General features: G+C 45.5%; 2 long non-coding RNA genes across 4 annotated transcripts in view, besides 5 other annotated features; both read right to left on the bottom strand.

Annotated features, from left to right (window-relative positions):
- JUN-DT (JUN divergent transcript) overlaps window positions 1-19,504 on the bottom strand; it is a 114,562-nt gene that overhangs the window by 81,218 nt on the left and 13,840 nt on the right. The gene's annotated exons all lie outside the window — the stretch shown is intronic.
- Window positions 1,972-2,121: a silencer, noted in NCBI's record as "silent region_936". NCBI's record gives its function as "represses an Ori minimal core promoter by ATAC-STARR-seq in GM12878 lymphoblastoid cells {active_cell/tissue: GM12878}" and the evidence as "EXISTENCE:reporter gene assay evidence [ECO:0000049][PMID:35858748]".
- LOC101926907 (uncharacterized) lies at window positions 2,453-4,055 on the bottom strand. Its single transcript, XR_246327.5, has 2 exons — window positions 3,983-4,055; window positions 2,453-3,227 (listed from the first exon to the last, which is right to left on the bottom strand). It is a non-coding gene; the product is annotated as an uncharacterized LOC101926907 (long non-coding RNA).
- Window positions 2,575-3,570: an enhancer, noted in NCBI's record as "H3K4me1 hESC enhancer chr1:59280597-59281592 (GRCh37/hg19 assembly coordinates)". NCBI's record gives its function as "activates a minimal SCP1, AML or CMV promoter by ChIP-STARR-seq in naive H9 embryonic stem cells {active_cell/tissue: H9 hESC(naive)}" and the evidence as "EXISTENCE:reporter gene assay evidence [ECO:0000049][PMID:30033119]".
- Window positions 2,934-3,133: a silencer, noted in NCBI's record as "silent region_935". NCBI's record gives its function as "represses an Ori minimal core promoter by ATAC-STARR-seq in GM12878 lymphoblastoid cells {active_cell/tissue: GM12878}" and the evidence as "EXISTENCE:reporter gene assay evidence [ECO:0000049][PMID:35858748]".
- Window positions 3,571-4,567: an enhancer, noted in NCBI's record as "H3K4me1 hESC enhancer chr1:59279600-59280596 (GRCh37/hg19 assembly coordinates)". NCBI's record gives its function as "activates a minimal SCP1, AML or CMV promoter by ChIP-STARR-seq in primed H9 embryonic stem cells {active_cell/tissue: H9 hESC(primed)}" and the evidence as "EXISTENCE:reporter gene assay evidence [ECO:0000049][PMID:30033119]".
- Window positions 13,304-13,598: a silencer, noted in NCBI's record as "tiled region #1716; HepG2 Repressive non-DNase unmatched - State 23:Low". NCBI's record gives its function as "represses a minimal TATA promoter and a strong SV40 promoter by Sharpr-MPRA in HepG2 cells {active_cell/tissue: HepG2}" and the evidence as "EXISTENCE:reporter gene assay evidence [ECO:0000049][PMID:27701403]".

Raw genomic sequence — 19,504 nt, 5'->3', positions numbered from 1 at the left:
TAAAACCTAACCTCCCTCCACATTCCATGTAAGCACTTGGAACTGGACCCCCAAAAATTACAGTGAGGGAAACCAACAATCTTGAATATCTACGGTGTGCAAGCCACCTTATTATATAAAATATAGCATATGCATGCAATGCTTAATCATATATAAGGAATGCCAATAAGCTCAGAAAGGAACCCCTTGCCTTTGTTGAGGAGGCAGCTGTGTGTGGTATCATTCCTGGCTGCATGCCCATTGCCTAGCATTGTGTCTGATACATCCTGCAGGAATTAAGAATATGGAATAAGGAGCCAAACTTTGTAGATTCAAGTCCTACTTAGTAGCTGTGTGACTTTGGGTAAGTCATTTAACTTCTTCGTTCCTCAATTTCCTATTTGTGAAATGGGATGCTCTTAATACCTCTCTCATACTGTAATTGTAGAATTAAATGAGTTAATAAGGGTCAAATGCTTAAGACAGTGCTGGCAAACAGTAAGAGTTGCAAACATCATCACTTGTGGAATTGCTGGATAATGGGGACCTCACCATCACCCTGTGACATAAAGTGTAATAAACTCCTTTTTCCAGGTGGGGAAACTGAAGAAAGTACACCTGCCTGGTCATCCAGTTCTTAAGTGGCCTAAACAAGATTCCTACCTAGGCCTAACTAACACTAATAACAAAACATAGCATTTAATTAGTTTTTTTTCAAATGTTCTAGGCCTTTACAGATAGGCACATATTTACTTCTCACAACAATTATATGAGGTAAGTGTCAGTAACTCACATTTTACAGATGCAGAAACTGAGACTGAGGTTAAGTAATTTTCCCAAGGCCATATAGTCAGCAAATGTCAAGTGTGGGTTGTTTTGTTTGTTTTATATATTTTTTTCAACTTTTATTTTACTTTATTTTGAAACGGTGTCCAGCCCAGTGCCTAGGCTGGAGTGCAGTAGCAGGAACATGGCTCACTGCAGCCTCGACTTCCTAGGCTCAAGCAATCCTTCTGTCTCAGCCTCCTATGTAGCTGGGACCACAGGTGCACGCCACCATGCCTAGCTAATTTTTAAATTTTTTGTAGAGATGAGGTCTCACTTTGTTGCCCAGGTGGGTCTCAAACTCCTGGCCTCAAGCCATCCTCCCCCTTCTGTCTCCCAAAGTGCTGGAATTAAAAGAGTGAGCCACTGCACCCGTCCCAACTTTTATTTTATAATTGGGGGTACATGTGCAGGTTTGTTACAAAGGTATATTGCCTAATGCTGAGGTTTTTAGTATAATTGAGCTTGTCACTCAGATAGTGAGCATAGCACCCAAGAGGTAATTTTCCAGCCCTTGCTCTGCTCCCTCTCCCACTAACTCTAGTAGTCCTCAGTGTCTATCATGTCCACCTTTATGTCCATGTGTACCCATTGTTTAGCTCCTGCTTATAAGTGAGGATATGTGGTATTTGATTTTCTTTTCCTGATTAGTTCACTTAGGATAATGGCCTCCACCTGCATCCATGTTGCTGCAAAGGACACGATTTCATTCTTTTTATGACTGCATAGTGTTCCGTGGTGTGTATGAGCCATATTTTCTTTATCCAATCCACCATTGACAAGCACCTGGGTTGATTCCAAGTTTTTGCTATTGTGAATAGCACTTCGATGAACATAGGGATTCATGTGTCTTTCTGGAAGAACCACTTATTTTTCTTTCGGTACAGACCCAGTAATGGGATTGCTGAGTGGAAGGTAGTTCAACTCTGGGTACTTTTAGAAAACCCAGGCCAGAGAACCTGACTGTCCCCTACATGGAAGAAAAGGGCCAGGTCTCTGGAACCTGAAATTCAGCTAGCTGAGCTGCAGATCTGGCTGGCGTTCCTATGGCCAGAACTTGGACCTGAGGACTGTACGAGGACTGAGGATTGAGGCTGGGTCTCTGGGGCCGCCTGGGGCTCTGGGGCCGCCGGTGGGTTAGCGGGCCTGGAACACGGGTGTGGCCCGCAGCGCCAGTTTACAACGGCCGGCAGGACCGCAGGGAGGAGCAAAAGCAGGAAGTGCCGCGCGCGCTCGCACCGAGGGAACCCCGGCGGCGCCCCGCCTTTGCCGGCGTCTGGGCTCTGTGCCCGCCGCCCTCCCCGGCCGTTCGCCCGCGAGTCCCTTTCGCTTTTAACCCCAGCCGCGCTGATTGCCTGCGATTACTCAGAATCGCCCCCACTTGGCTGGCTGAGCGACAAAAATCAGCAGTAGCTGTCCGAGGAAAGCTCTTCGCAAACCGGCGCCCCCACCCAGCGGAAACACCCCAAGCCGGATCCCAGAAATCTCAGTCTTCTCCCAACCCCGGCTCTGCCTCTCTCTCTCAATGGGACTCGTCCGGGTCTCAGTTTGCCCATCTGTGCAGACGGTGTGAAGAATTTCTGCACAATCGAGAAAAAAAGGTGTGGAAACAGCCGAAAATAATTTTGATCCGAAATAACTTTGAGAGTTTTATAGTCTAATCGATTATTGTTTTAATAAGAATCTGTATTTTTTCATGCAAAAAGGAGTTTAACTGTCACCCAGGAAAATTCGCCTGTGGTTGGAGTTGCCCTGTGCGACACGCCCAGGGAAGCGCTGGAATGTCCCTTTCCGCTCCCATCTGTCTGTTAACCTGTAACCCGTTGTGCATGTATTTGATTCTTCCCGGTTAGAAGTTTTACAATCTCGGTGACGATAGGTGGGTTGGGGAGAGACTGGGTTTTGCAGCCAGATATTGGGTTACAATATCTTGCTGTACCATTTTTTTGCCTGTGGGACCTTGGTCAAGCCATTTCAACGTGCCGAGCCTCAGCCTCCCTTCTATAAAATGGGAAGAAGGAATCTCCTGCAGGGTTTCTGGGAAGATTCGGGCTGCTGTCTCTCTAGGGCCTACCATGTTCTGAGTGATCAGTGGAGAAGGGTGCTCATGGGTGGGGACTCCGACGGTCTGAGCCTGGATTTCTTCCACCTGCTCCTCCTTTTGGCCCCGTGGCTCCCCGGCCCTGCGAGAGGGCTGGGGCGTGGCGGGCTCCGAGCCTCCCGAGGCCTGCGTAGCGGCCGTAGCACCAGTTCCCGCCTCCCCCGCGGCCCGGCGCTGCGGGCGGGACCTGCGGCGACCTGTGGGCGGAAGTCTGTGGCTTTATTTACACAGAGGGCAGCCCGTGGAGGCTAGCCTTGTAAGGACGAATCGCTGGCGGGCCTGTGGGGGAGGCCAGGAAAGGCGGCCTTCGCCTGATAGGAATCTGTGAATAAATAAATACGTGAATGGAAGAATGCATTGAAATTCCCTCCTAGGATCACAGAAACGCATTCCAAAGGCAGCCTCAGAATCCGCCCACTCGCCCCCATCCCATTTGAGGATCAAATGATTCAAATGAGTTATTGCCAGGCCAGGCCTCCTGCCTCCCAGACCCCGCCGTCCTGGGGCTGCCTTTGGGGCGCGACTTCAGGGCTAGGAGTGAGATCTTGGGGCTAAACAAAGGGAAAGGGAACCCCGCTTTGCTCAGCACCTGCCATGTGCTAGGCACCTTTCCTATGTCACTTCATTGACTTTCATTCCCACGACGCTTTGGGGTAGGCACCGTCTTCCCACTTTCGTCTGGGAAAACTCTGGGTCAGATAGAAGTCACTCGCCCAAGAACAAAAGCGTGTGGGTGGAACAGCTTGGATTCAAATACAAGTCTGTCCTGAGCGCCTTTCACGCCACCGCGGGGCCCGGAGGAGGCGCAGGGGCCAGGAAGAGAAAGCGCGCTGGCGAGGACAGGGGAGCGGCGCGACTGCCCAGCTGCGTTTCCGGGTACCACCCCTTCCCGCGGTGTCCTTCGCTTGCCCGCTGGATCGCCAAAGCCTCTTCCAGCTCCACCCGTCAACTCATTCGCCGCCGCCCGGCCCGCTCACTCTCCTGATTTAGCAGCCAGAAGCCCCACGCCCGGTGACCACCGACCCAGAGCCCCTGGTCATGTCATAGCCAAAACCAATGTAGTCCTGGAGGACTTACAGGTGCACCCAGGGTGCGTATTTCTCCTGCCTCCACCTGAGTCCCGGCTCCGCATCCGGTCCTGGAGCAAAGGAAACTAACTGGTCTAGGCGCCTCTTTTCCCGGCAGGGCCCCACCCACGCCCACCCTGCCGAGGCCCCAAACAGGTTTCTTCACTTTCCCTGGCCCAGCTCCTGACCCGGGGCAGGAAGGAAGCCGGTTGCTCAATGTGCTGGAGGCTAGTTTTGGTTCTCAGGCCACCTATTGACCAGCCAATCAGTCAGGTGGGCCCAGCTCAAGCCACCCTGCAGGTACAGTGACTTGAGCACCTAGGACCACTCAACAAATCCTTAGGGGTCCTCACGCAACACAACACGTGGGCTCTATGTGCAGCCTGTGAGCGCCAGATCCCTTGGGAAAAATGAGCTGGATGAAGCCGGCCACCCCAGCCCTCTGGGTCCATCCTGCAGGCTTGCCCCAGGGCAACACACTGACCTCTTGCTGGGCCTCCATCACACATGCATCCACTGACCTTGGAAGACTTTCCAGAAGCCCCAGCTCGTTTGCTTTTAGATCTCTTGGCCAAGAGGACAGCATGGGCAGAAAATTCAGACAATGACAGGAGGAATTTATTCACAAACATTTACTGAGTGCCAGCCATTGTACTAGACCCTGGGGATACCAACGCAAACCAAACAGTCCCTTCCCCCACGTGTCCCCATCTAATGAGGAGTCAGGTAACAGGTCATTTTAAGAGGATGCCATGAGCCATTTCCCAGAGTGCATCTGGAAGAAGACCCTGAGTTGGTGGGGTGAGGAGTAGGGAGGCATCTGGAAAGACTCTCAGACTTCAAACACTGCCCCTTTCCTTCCTTCTTCCATCTTTCTACACTCATTTCTGGAGTACTGCATCAAGCTAAGAGCTCAGGGAGCAGGAGGTGGTTTTCAAAGGAGAACAAGTCATGGTGTCACAGTGTTGTGGTTAAAATGCCAGCGCTCCAGCTACAGCCACTTATTCTGTGCCTGTGGGTGATTCACATAATCTCTCTGACCCTTGGTTTTGCTATCTGTATAATAGGGATAATTGATAATATCTACTTCACAGAACAAGGCCCAGCCCAGGGTAGCCATTAATTAATGTAGTCTTATATTATTTTGTGGTGGTTCACACTTTTCTGTTTCTTACAACAACCCCATGTGGCTGACAGCACAGGTAACCTTATACCCATTTTACAGATGAGGAAGCCGACCCAGACAAATTAACGCAATGGTCCATGTCTGGTACATTTCAAGATCAGGATCCTGGGGAGGGGTGGCCTCCTGAAATAGGGGGATATTATGACCTTCACCTGCCCTCCCTGAAACCCCAGATGACTGGTTGAGGCTGAACTGTCTGGGGAACTTCCTCTGACCTAAATCCTGTCGGCTATACCCAAACACCAGCCAGAAGATACAAACAGCCACACCCTCACCGTTTTTGCCCCAACTTGTGCTTCATGCCAGGGGATTTCTCTTTCAGGAACTACATTTAAAAAGGGGGGAATTATATGATAATTGGACACCTACTATGTGGCAGACATTACACAAGGCATGCTTGTGTGGGTTATTTTATCTCATGTGAGCCATGTTATGTGGACAGGGAAAAGAGGAGGATGATGGAGGAGGAGGAAAGAATCGACTTGTTCCAACTGCTCTCCATAATAAAACTTCATTCAAGTGCATATAACCCTGAGTGTTCTTTCTAACATGCAAATGTGATCATACTCCAACTCTCTTGCTTAAAATTTCCCAGTAGCCTCCCTCTGTGTTCACAACAAAGTTGACACTGCACAGACATGCTCAGCTAGCCACATCGTCATATCCACTGTGCGCTCTGACCTCCTGGCCTTTGCACATGCAGTTTCTTCTTCCTGGAATGCCCTTTCCAGCTCCCCACTTCCTTTCTTACTTTTACTTGGTTAAATCCTATTCATCCTTCAGCCCTCAGCTTTAAATGTTGCTTCCTCTAGGAAGCCTCCTTGTCCACTCAGACAGGAATAGGCCCCTGCTACATACCATGCTCTATACATACTATTCTGTGTTGTATCTGTTTAATAGTGTCCCACTAGGTAATGAGCTCCTTAGGGTCAGGAACTATGTCCTCTTCCTGTGTCCTCAGCACTAAGCATATTATGACTCCTAATAGGCATTCAATAAATGTTTAATAGATGGATGAGAAGAGGTTGAGCATAAAAATTATCCCCATTTAACAGAAGAGAAAACCAATCCCAAAGAGGGGGGAAAATGCCTGTCTAAGCTGGTTAATGAATGAGTTACGCCTCTGTAAATCCGCTCAGCATTGTTTCACTATTTCATTTATAATGAAGATCATGCAAACTTGTAAGTTCTGATCTAAATTGTTCTTATCACTATCTTTCAACATTGCACAGAAATAGGACCTGGGTCCTAATAATGTAATAATTATAAATACTGATTATCAGGTCTATAGTTAGTCCTGGGTCCTGATTTTAGGTGTCCAAGACACATTATACCTCATGACATCTTTCAGATGCCACCACTGTGATGTCTCTTCAACAGATGAGAAAGCTGATTCAGAGAGATTAAGTGATTTACCCAAGGATCCACAGCCTTCAAACCCAAGTACTCTCCAACTCCTAAGCCCAGGTTCTTTCCACCTCCCCATCCAGCCTCCTGACATGGCTTGGAGCCAACTCTTTTGTGACCTCACATCCCATCTAGGCCTCAGTTACCCCTCTGACAGGATACAGATGAGACCCCACAATCTCTATGGGTCCTCTGGGCTTAGCCCAAATGTCATACAAACACTGGCATTTTTCCCTGGCCACTTTTCCCTTCCCCCCTTCAGTTCCAGCATCTGCATGGGCTCCACCTCTGGGGAAAAGACCTGGCAAGTGAAGCCATCGTTGTTCCCAGTAAGTGGCCACCTTGAGAACCAGGCAGGTAGGGGCAGATCCTCCCATCCACAGGTGTCTCAACAAACAAACTATTTAGCAATTACATACACCCTTTGCCAGAGCTCCCACAGTCTTTCTGGACTCCAAAGAACTGCTCCTAACTCTAGGGTTACTGCAAGAGCTTCCTTCAGGTGCTTGTATTGATTTATTCATTTAACAAATATTTGAGCACCTATTACATTCCTGACATTGTTCTTTTAACTAACGACATTCCCCTTGGAGCCCTGGAACTTCTTCAACTATCTGAGATGAGGAAGTTCTTCCAAACAGTCTTATACTAGACTAGAAGTTCCATGAGGGCAGGGGCTACGTCTGTTTTGTTTGTTATTCTATCCATTACCTAGCACTGTGGCTGACATGTGGTAGGTCCTCATTAAACATTTGTTAAATGACTGAACAGGTAACTATTAAATGATCCATTTATCTCCTAAAAGTTGCATCTAATCCTCTACTTTGAGAAAACAGTCATGGCATTATGGCATTTAGAATCAAAAGTGACCATTGAGGGAAAAAAAAAAAAAAGAAAGAAAGCTACCCTCATTCCCCCATTTTATAGAAAGGAAGCCCCGGAAAGAAGAGATACTGAGTTCAGGGCAGAGTCTGGAGTACACCTCAGGCCTCTTGACTTTGGCCTAAGCACCTTCTCTGAGTTCGGACATCACTCCAAAACCCTAAACATATTCTCATCTCATTCTCACAGCAGCCGTCTGGGGCAGGGGAAGAGGAAGGGAAGCATTCCCTTTGCCAAATGGCAGAAGGGAAAATTGAGACTCAGAGATGTGAAGTGGAGTGGCTTCCCAACCCCAGGTCACACAACCAAGCATCTCAGGATTTCTCCTCGTTAACAAATGCCCATTCCACCCATCTCCCTCCCCACTGCTCGCTGCTTTCACAAGCCTTAAAAGAGATGTGAAAGGACAAGCCCTAGAATTGCAAAGACCTTTCTCTTTGTTATTCATTCCACTTCTGGGAGGTTTGGTTAATCTATCCGCCCAGTGCAAAAAATGAGGTCCATCCAGACACTCATAATTGCTATATATTCTTGAAGGGGGCTGGTGGCCCAAACACTTATCTCCAAAGCCAAATGTTCTCCAGTGACACCAAGAACATCTTTTCCCTTCTATGATGGCACTAGGTGAGCAGGGACCAGGGGTCTTTGGGAGACTATTAGGCCTATCTCAAACCTCAGAGGGCCCTCTAGACTCCATACACACCAGGTCTCTCTGACTACAGGCTCATCCAGGCCACAGGTCCCTGCCTTCCTTATCATGGCTGGTGCCACCTCAGCAGCCTTATACTATAGTGATGGGTATGGGGGAGTGAGAGATATCTTGAAAGAGGCCAGGTACCTTAGGAAAAGAAGAAGAAAAAGGGCCAAACGAAAGCAAGAGTAGCAATTGTACCCTCCGGACAATGACACATGAGTAACCTGGAGTGGAGATTTTTACCTCTGGGGCAAAGAATCTTAGTTACTCAGGAATGAAAAGATAATGCCTTTCTTTTTCTAAAAGAGGAGAGGAAGGATCAGTATGCTGTCATCCTATTTCATGATTAGAGATAATTTACAACTATATTAAAAGACAGAATGTCCCACCAATAACTTTAAAATGCCAGTGTGACTTGCTGTTGAACAGCACAGGGCAGGAACCCCAGTGCTGCTCCACACCAGCTGAAGAATCTTGAACAAATCGCCTGAACTTCCTGAATCTGTCTCCTGGGCTGAACAGTGGCACTAATGGGCAAGGGTTTGTGAGAATTAAATGATGTCACATATGTAAAGCACCAAGCACCATGCCTGGCACACAGGAGGTGCTAAACAAATATTGCTTTTTCTTTTTTTTCAAGAATTGGGAATGAATTATGCTTTGGAAATCAAATAGTCATGGAAAAACCTAGGGGCCCCCCAGTAAAGTAAAGTTTCACCAGGGCTTAACAGACCCATTTCCCAATAGTTTGTTCAAGGACAAGCCCTCACACCGTGTGACTAGCCTCCCACACACTGGGTTTGTATGCTTCCTTTCCTGTTCTCCTTGAGCCAGGCCTCACCAGCAAAAATGCATCTAGCCACTCAAAACGCCCTCATTACAACTCACCCAGCAGGATTCCCACATGCCTGTTGGCATGTGCACACATATACTAAAAATGCATGCAATGTGATGCAGCCCGATAAAGCGCGTGGCTCCCTTCCACATACGTTCAACGAACGGTATAGCAGAGTGGAAAGAGCAGGATTTGTGGGACTGGATGGGTGTGGGTTCAAAGCTATTTCCTTCTTTTAACAGTGGTGTGATCTTGAGCAAATCTGTAAATCTTGGTCCCCTTCCTCCAAAAGATGGTAATTATAATACTTAGCTTTTAGTGTTGTTCTGAGGATCAAATAAAACAATGTGTATAAAATAATGGTCTGATATGCTATAGGTGCTTAAATATATTTATTGCATAAAATGCCAAGAATTTGAAATGAGAGGAGAGAAGGGAGAGCCTAGCACTGAGCTCACCTTCTGTAGGTGTTTTACCCAGTGAAGTGGTCTCTTCTGTTTCCAGCCTCCTTTGGGGCTATTTGCCTCTGACACTAAGACTTTGACCTTAGCTGGTCTTGCTCTGCTATTAGGCTGTTTTTTGTTTTTTGTTTTTTTTTTTTTTTTGAGACGTAGTCTCACTCTCTTGCCCAGGCTGGAGTGCAGTGGCCAGATCTCGGCTCACTGCAAGCTCTGCCTCCCAGGTTCACGCAATTCTCCTGCCTCAGCCTCCCGAGTAGCTGGGACTACAGGTGCCTGCCACCATGCCTGGCTAACTTTTTTTTGTATTTTTAGTAGAGAGGGGGTTTCACCGTGTTAGCCAGGATGGTCTTGATCTCCTGACCTCGTGATCCGCCCGCCTCGGCCTCTCAAAGTGCTGGGATTACAGGCGTGAGCCACCGCGCTCGGCCTAGGCTGTTTTCATTTTGCCTCAACAGACTTGACATCACACTGAAAGTGAAGGGCATGTTTCCCATCTACATCCCCCCACCTCCATCCCAAATGCCTAGTGCACAGCTGGGGACAGCAGGGACCCTCAAGGAAGACGAAGGGACTTCTTTTCACCTCGAAGCTCTTTTCATGCCCTCATTCCCGCCCTCCTTCCCCTGCCTCTTTGGGCCTGGTTGGGTAAGATGGCCAGCAATGAGCAGGAAGAGTAGGGACAGAGAAGGGTATAGGAGAGCCACTCCAGATGTGGCTGGCATTTTGAAATGGAAAACAAAACCAAAAAAAAAAAAGCATTACAAAAAGAGAAACTCCCTCCCCTCCTTCCCTCCTCATTCATCTGTCAAAATGTCATATAAAGAAGGAAGAAGATAAAGTGAAGCAGTCTATATCTGAGACAGATTGGAATTTTAGAATTATATGGGCAACTATTTTGCATAATGCAGAGAGCTTTTTACCAGCTTTGTCCTATTTTACCTGCACACCATCTTAGTGAAGAAGACATAGCTAGTCCACTCTCAGTAGTGAAACTGAGGATAAGGAAAGTGTAGCCATTTGCCTGAGATCATACAAAAAGGAAATACCAGATATAGAGCTCAAAACTGAGCCTTTCTACCCTAGATCCCATATTCTTTCTGTTATGAAAGCCATTTCTCCACAGGACAAAGAAGAGAAATTCCAAATGATTAGGCCATCTCTCCTCTATTCTGCCTGTACTCTGACAACCTATACATCTGGAAAACCTAAGCAGTATATACACAGGGCTATTCACTTTGTAATCATTCATCAAAATGCACCTCTTATGACTTGTATGCATTTCTGTATATATGTTATGCTTCTTTTTTTAAAAAAAGGATCAAATAAAATTCTATTAGAAAATCACTTTTCTCAAAAGACCTTCTCCAATTTTTATTTTTAACATACAGATCTAGTCATGTCACTCCCCTCCCTACAGTCTTTCTATGGCTCTCCATAGCTTTCTGTGGTTTTCAGCATCCCATTCAATCTGATCCCTTGTGCACCTCTCCAGCCCCCTACATAGTGCAGAACCTATACAGGCCAGCCTGTCTTTCCTCCATTCCTTCTTCCTAGAACCATTCCCGCTTGGGCCTGGCCAGCTCCTACTCCCTCAACCTTTAGGCCTTGGAAGGGATAATACTTCCTGCAGAAAGCCCTCTCTGAACACCAGCCCCGAGGTTGTAACTCAGACCTGCTAATGCCCATCGCATCAGGGGTCTACTTCTACCACAGCTCCTACCATGCTCAACAATAAATGTCCATTTCTCTGTTCATTGAAGCAGTCTGTGAACTCCTTGAAGGCAGAGACTGTGCTTCCTCATTTCTATCTCCAGCACCCAGCATAGCAGGGGCTCAGTGAATATTTCTGGATCAAAAAATTAATGGATCAACCCCCTACTAACCACCTTCAAATAAGATTTGTCTTACAAACTCTACTTGAAACTTTTTTTGTTCATCTGTGTGTGCTCTTCCTTTCCCTAATCTGAAATTCCTGGAGGCCACTGTAGCTGGGTTAAATTGGGACCCCAAAAAAGATGTCAAAACCCTAAACCCCAAACCCCAACACTTATGAATGTGAACTTATTTAGAAATAGGGTCCTTGCAGATGTAATTAAGTTAAGGATCTCAAGATGAAAACATTTTGAATTTAGGGTAGACCCTAAATCCAATGATTGGTTTCCTTATTAGAGAAAGGTGAGGGAGATTTGAGACACAGAGACACACAGTAGGGAAGATCATGTGAAGACAGAGGCGCGGAACGGAGCTGTGCTTCCACAAGCCAAGCAACACCAGGAGTCGCCAGAAGCTGCAAAAGGCAGAGAGTGGATTCTTCCTTAGGGCCCTTGGAGGGAGCGTGGCCCTGCCAACATTTTGATTTCAAATGCTTTGCCCTCTAGAACTGTGAGCGAATACATTTCTGTGGCTTTAAGCTACAAAGCTTGTGGTCATTTGTTACAGCAGCCACAGGGCACCAATAGCAGCAGTAACTATGCCTCTCGCTGGCTTGATGCTCCACCCACCCCTGAATCTTCCACCTTGCTGTACGCATAGTAGGGCCTCCATAAAAGCCCTTGTGAGAGACTGATTAGGAAAGGCCTTGTCATGAGCCATCCTCTGTTTTCAGCTGGGTTGCCTATCCTAATGGTTAACCAAAGCCAAAGAAAGTTCATGAAGACAGCACAGTCAGGTGCATCAGTTAGCATGGCCGGTGACTAGCATCTATTGAGTGCTCACCCTGGGCTAGACATTCTACCCATGCTGTCTCACTTAGGCATCTTTCATTCAACACGTTATTGAGCACCTGTTTTCAAGTAGGTCTATTCTACAAAAGAGGAAACTGAAGCTCAGGGAGGTGGGGTAACATGCTTGAGATCTCACAGTAAACAAGTGGTGGTGTCAGGACTGGAACTTTGGACTCCGGATGTTATTTTTCACTTTTCTAAGCTACCACGGTTTACGACATGAACAGAATTAAGACAGAGAACATGAAGGGAAGGGAGAAAAAGGGTGGAGAAGAGTGATTCAGTGCTGGCAGACATTGTGCTTTTGTTTTCATAGTCTGGGAGCAATTAGGTAGCACACCTGTGACTTTCAATTTGTTGTGGTGGGGCTAAATTTAAACCTTGAGTCATCTTTATCCGTAATCGATATGTATCTATATGAGCAAAATTAATCATATTGTAAAGCTGCCATGGGAATTCTAGACAACATCACAACTATGGTACAAACCACAAGCATGAAAGCCAGGCACGCCATTGCTGCAGACGAAACAGCGTTGGTCCCAAAGGTATGTGTGTGAAGGGCCCCTGAGCAGCCACCTAATTCTCCTCATCACCCTGGTCTGGTTAAGATAAAAGTTGATCAGTGACCCATTCAGGCCCCAAATCACCTGGAGCGTCAGTGCAGGCTCTTCCGTGCCATTTCATAAAGGGGACACACACATTCACAAAATCCAGCAAATATTTATTGAGCACTTACTGTGCTCCAGGTTCTGGGGACACAGCAGAAAACAAAACCAAGTCTGCTCTTATAGAGGTCACGTGCTGCTCAGGGGAGAGAGAAAATAAATAAGTAAATGAATAAGTGTCTAATATGCCACTGATAAGAGAAAAGAGGAAAACTAAAACGGAGGACTGGGAGTGCTTGGGTTTTTTTTTTTAATATTAAGTCATCAGGGAAGGCCTTTCTGATATGGTGCCATGTGGGCAGAGGCCTAAGGAAGTGAGAGGATGAAGCCTACAGATATCTGGAGGAAGAGAGAACTATATATGTGTGTGTGTGTATGTGTGTGTGTATATATGTGTGTGTATGTGTGTGTTTTTGTGTGTGTGTGTGTGTGTGTGTATATATATATATACACACAGACAGATGTATATATTTATAAAAGACCCAAAGCAAGAATGTGCTTGAATGTTCCAGTAACAGCCAGAAGGCCTTTGAGGCTGGAGCAGACTGAGCTAAGAGGGAGGTCAGGGAGTGCCAGAAGACAGGTCACACAGAGCCTTGCAGGCCATGGTGATGAGAAGCCACCGGAGGGAGTGGCACAGAGGAGCAGCAAGGTCTGGTTCAGGTTACAGAAGGACTGCCCTGCATGGAGAATGAAACAACAGGGACAGATAGAGGCAAGGAGACAAGTTAGAAAGCTGCTGCCACAATCCAGGAGACAATGGCTGGTGACCTGGACAGAGGGCTTCAATCACAGTAGATAGAAGCTGACCAAAAAGGTAAAAGAAAGGAAAGTGTTATGAAAAGGGAGAAGGAAAATAGTGGAAAGAGGGAAAAATGGAGTATGAGACAAAAGAATGTATTTTACATATCAAACAAGAACTGAGTCACCAATTATTAAATGTAAGACCCTAGGATGGGAATAAGGGGAAAAAGAACCAACCTTCGCTGGATCCCTCCTGTGTGTTACTGCTGCACCAGGTCTCATGGGTCCCACCTTGTGGTATCGCAATCATTTTAGGTAGAAATCAGGAGCCTTGATTGTGTAAATGAGGAATCTGAGGTCCAGAAAAGGTATATAGTTTCTGTAAGGTCAGACAGCCAATATGGGAGTGCTGGAATCAGAATCGAGTATCTAAGTCCAAAGCCTGCTCCTTCCAAACCTCATTCTGGCTGAGTGCAGAAAAGTGTATAGACATAGTTCCTGTCTCAAAAGCCTCCGTGGCATAGAAGAACCTCATGAGATGAGAATTGTTATCATCCCTATTTCTAGAAATGAAAAAACTGATGCCAGAGAGGTTAAGTGACCTGCCCAAGTCATAGCAGCTGGTAAGTGACCGAGCCAAGATTCAAACAAACAAAAAAAAAAGATTCAAACCCTGGCCTAGCTTCATATATCTTAACTACTACCCTGTATCATCATATGATGTAGTTGTTCTGAGCTTTAGTATACAAGCTAAACTTTATTTAAACTTTATTTATAGACAAATGGCAGGTATAAAAGGAACCAAATCATCTAAGTCCACTACTACTCTAAGTCTTCCTGAAGAATACACACACACACACACACACGCACCACACATTTATTGACATATATACCTACACATATAGATATGGGCACACCCTTAAAGTACATGAATACACAACATTCCAAAGTCAATTACTTCCTAAATTATCGTCTGTTATCTGAGCCTCTGAAAATTAAGTCATTTACCCAATTATGATGAATTGCCAAAGCCACCTTGTCCATTCCCAACAAGTAGACAGAGGTGGTCTTGAAATTACTTATTTAAAAATCAACTGGAAAACTCTGTTAATTTCTTTCAGAAACTAAGGGAAGGAGTGGAGGTCGGAAGGCTGACATCTCAAATATTCATCCTTTACCAATAGAGAACTCCACAAAACACCAGCTCCTAATGCCTTGCTTGTTCTCTGGAAATACAGACTCGGCCTCACTATAATTCAGTTCTAAACATTAGAAAGACACTGTCTTCTGTTACGAGATGCTGTCGTGTAGATAAATTTGTGAAGACTAAATGTGTCCACTGATAGTCCTGAGTTCTAAGCCTGTTCCCACCTGCTCCTAGCTTGCTATGTGACCCCAACATGGTGACTGTGTACTCTCATAAACAAAGTAAGAATAATATAATTCCTATTTCTTGAGGAATCATGAGGATTATAAAAGATCCCTTAAATAAAATGTCAAGCACAGGGTTGATATTTAATAAATCTTCGGTTTCCCTCCCGATTCCAGTAAAAAGGCTGTTAGAGGGCAAAGTTCATAGTCTTGACCTTTTCCCTACAGGGTAGAGAATCACTAACTCCCAACCAATAGAACCTGTAATTACTATCCTTGGACACCACAGGAAGGAGTTTAAAAAAAAAGGCAGATGTTTTCATGCATAAAGACAGGCCCAGGCATCGTTACCACGTTGCTAGGTGTTGTTAAGCCACCCACCTAGCCACAGAGTGGGCAGCAATTAATGTAATTAGCACAGTGATGAGTGTCCTCCACAATGATAAACAGCTCAGCCCTGCAGAACTTGACAGACCTGCTGCTCCCCAGGCTCCTGACCCTGAACTTCCACGTGGGGAGTGATGTAGTGTAGTTTAGTGGAAAGAGGCCAGGTTCTGAGTCTCATGGAACCAGATATAAATCCTGTCTTTGCTAATATCTAGCTGTGTGACTGAGGGCAAATCACTTCATCTCTCTGGGCCTTAGTTTCCTCATCTGTCAATGGGGTTATTAATATTCTCACAGGGTTGTTATAGTTACCTTCATCATCATCATCACCATCATCATCATCATCATCATCATCATCACAGAAATTGCAAAGGGTGGAGAGCAGGAACAGCCCATTTCTTTTTCTCTGGTTAAACTCAGAGGACAAACCTCTTATTTGATGGCTTTAGGGAAACAACTAGAGTTTGGGATAGAAAGAATATTGACACCCAGAAAAAAAGGAAGAGAAAACACTCCTTGATTTGATTAATTACTTATAATGTTATAAATAATTAACACAAGTGTTATCAGAAAAACTACTGCTTACATAAAACAGAGGCAACACAGCAATCTGGTAGCTGGTAATACAAGCATGAAACTTGCTGCTAAACTTTGGATCTAGCGATTCTGTTTTGAAAATTAACACCCTCAAAAAAGAAGTAAAATAAGCCAAAGGTTATGATTTCTCTCATTCTCTCTCTCTCTCTCTCTCTCTGTGTGTGTATGTGTGTGTGTGTGAGATGAAATTATTGATAATCATTAAGAATTCACTAATTCATCCAATTGGTAGTTGCTGAGTGCCTGTAGGTACCAGATAAAGACCTTGAGTGTGGACAAATACACAGACACACACACCATTAGGATTCATTGAAATGAAGGCTCTGAAAAAAGTCTGTAAAAGTAGAGGGAATCAAGGGAAGACAGGAACCAATAGGACTACTGCTAAGCAAAACTGAAGCACTGTTTCTGAGACTGACAAGGAAATCAGCCATATGGAGTCTTGGAAATGTGCATGTGAAACAGTGTTAAATGAAAACAAAGAAAAAAGAAAAACTGTCTCAGCACTCTGTGAATGTCAGAGCTAGAAAGAATCTCAGAGAACATTCAGTTCAGCAGTTCTCAATCCTTTTCATGAAGACCTTGTGGCAAGTGAGGCTCACACAGCCTAACAATTCAGGCAGAGATCAATTAAGTTCTGGGTAATAATAACAAAAATTCCAAGCCTATAGCTGTCACTCCACCATTTTCTCTTTCACCTGAGACAGCTTCAGTATACCAAGGAGTGAAGCTATTAGAGGAATAACCTTGAATCCACTCTAATTTGTTTAATAAAATAGGGCTCTGGAGTCCACACTGCATTGAAAGCCAGTGATCTGGCACAAGTCTTCAGCAGTGGAGAAGCTGAGGCCCCAGGTGACCTATCTCTCTGTCATACTAGCACATACATCTTGCTCAATTGGTATTTGTTGAATAAGTATCCGTGAATGAGCAGGCAAATGAGATGATGTGACCAAGGTTACCCAAAGTGCATATAGCTGGTACCATATACTGAATAAAACTTAGGGATTGGAACCCAAATGCCCATCAATGATAAACTGCATAAAGAAAATGTGGCACATATACACCATGGAATACTATACAGCCATAAAAAATGAGTTCATGTCCTTTGCAGGGACATGGATGAAGCTGGAAGCCATCATTCTCAGCAAACTAACACAGGAACAGAAAATCAAACACCACATGTTCTCACTCATAAGTGGGAGTTCAACAGTGAGAACACATGGACACAGGGAGGGGAACATCACACTCCAGGGGCTGTTGTGGGGTGGGGGGCTAGGGGAGGGATAGCATTAGGAGAAATACCTAATGCATGTAGGGCTTAAGACCTAGATGATGGGTTGATAGGTGCAGCAAACCACCATGGCACAGGTATACCAATGTAACAAACCTGCACGTTCTGCACATGTATCCCAGAACTTAAAGTCAAAACAAACAAACAAGCCAAACCACCTTTAAGGATTGGGATTGAATTTAGACCAAAGTACCTAGAAATGTCTATTCTTATATTTCCTTTCTTAAATTTTCTCAAGCCTAACATAATAAATGAAACAATGGCCTAGCCGACATAGTGGTGCAGAGTTCAGCAGGCAGGACAGAGGGGCTCATGGTAATAACCTGACATGAGTGCTAGAATCATCAAGATATGGGAGGTAACTGCCTGGTCTCCAGTATGCAAAAGCCCTAATGGAGGACTGCACATAGAGTGACACTTTAAGTGGCAGTCAAGGAACAAAGATTCTTTTAATAAAACTGGCCAAGCACAGACCCCACAGGGCAAAGGCCTCAACACCTGATCATTGTTGGTGGCTTTTTCCTGCCTGTGACCATTCCCATCTCTCCTCCAACTGTAATGCCTCTCTTACACTACCCTCCTTCTGCCAGTTTCAGTGTTTATACCATTTATCTACATCCCCTCCTCAGAGAGGCCCTATCTGATCATTCTCTTTAAAAAGGTTCCCAATGTTATTCTTCAAAATCAGAGGATATTTAGAGATCTTCATGATCCATAGGCACAATCATTTGCCAACTCTTTGGTCAGATAATGTTTACATATTCAACTAGTTCCAGAGCTACACCCCAGGGAAAACATAGTTCTAAGTTATAGGCAAGTCTCACCCAGTTCTTTGCATTCATAACACACATTGCTTCTTGTGATTTTATATTGATTTGTTGACTTATTGTCTCTATATAGCAGTTATCACACTAGCAATTCCTGTTAATATTTATTGGGCATTTACTGTGTCAGGTACTAATCTAAGTACTTTACATATCAATTAATTTAACATTCATGATAACTCTCTGAAATAGGTTGTCATGAGCCTCATTTGACAGCAGAGAAAACTGATATCCAGAAAGGAATTTCACCAAGTTCATATAGTGAGTAAAGGAAAGGGTCAAGTATCAGACTGAGGAGATCTGGCTTCAGAGGTTAAGCTCTTAAACTACAGGCAATATGGAAGCACTGTGAAGACAGATTTCATGCCTTTTTGCTCACCACTTTATCCCTAGGACCTTGTCTAGCGTCTGGCATGGAATAGGGGCTCAACAAATTGGAAGGAAGGGAAAGGAAGGGAAGGGAAGGGGAGAAGAGAGGCAGGGAAGGAAGGATGGAAGGAGGAGAAAGGGAGGGAAGACAGGAAAGAAGGAAGGAAGAAGGAAGGGAGGAAGAAGGGAGAGAGAGGAAAGAAAAAGGGAAGGAAGGAACAAAGAAAGAGAGGATGGGAAGGAGGAAGGAAGAAAGGATGGGAGGAAGGAAGGGACAGAGGACAGGAAGGAAGGACAGGAGGAAGGAAGGAAAGAGTTTGGGAGAGAGGAAGGAGGAAAGGATAAGAGGAATGAAGGAAGGCAGAAAGGACAGGAATGAAGGAAGGGAGGGAGGACAGGAATGAAGGAAGGCAAGGAAGGGAAATGAAGGAGGGCTGAGAAGGAGGCTGTTCTGTGAGCCCCATCATGTCCCTCTCCTGGATAAAGTAGGGTTGGGACCCACTGAGCAGTTCCCGTGTCACGTGGGACCAACAGAGATGCAGGAGATAGTACTGAATGAAACACTGTCCCTGTCCCAGTAGTGTCTCCATCCTGGCCTCATGGTGGTCCAGTGGATCTGATGCCCTCAATGAAGTCTGGAACTTCTTCAGTGGGTCCTGGATTTTTCTCAACTTACAAAAGGAAGTTCAACTGTAATGCAAACATTCTGCTCTGGGGCCTCTGTGCTGGGCCCTCAGAGCACATAGAGGAATATGACAGAGCCCTCTCTCAAGAAGCTCACAAGCTAGTTAAGAAAAGGAAACCTGAAACCAAGGAGGGGAGTGGATAGTAGCCTGGTCAGGCTGGAAAGGGAGGGAGGGACAGAGGGAGAGACTCATGTCTCTCATTGAATTCTGTTATATCTCTGAGAGTCATTGCTTATTCTGCTCATGAAGCCTGCGATTCATTGAGAGCTACAACCCCTCATCTGCATCTGTGGACTGCTCTGCTATACACATGACCCTGTAACACATGTTACTATAAAACAAGGCAAGACTGATAACTAGAGGAATGATAGCACAATAACATGCAAGCTGCTTGATTTTTCCCAGGA

The sequence above is a fragment of the Homo sapiens genome, chromosome 1 (genome assembly GCF_000001405.40).
Source record: "Homo sapiens chromosome 1, GRCh38.p14 Primary Assembly".
Lineage (NCBI taxonomy): Eukaryota > Metazoa > Chordata > Mammalia > Primates > Hominidae > Homo > Homo sapiens.
The sequence above is the reverse complement of the archived record's forward strand: the minus strand, read 5'-3'. Positions and strand labels throughout refer to the sequence as shown.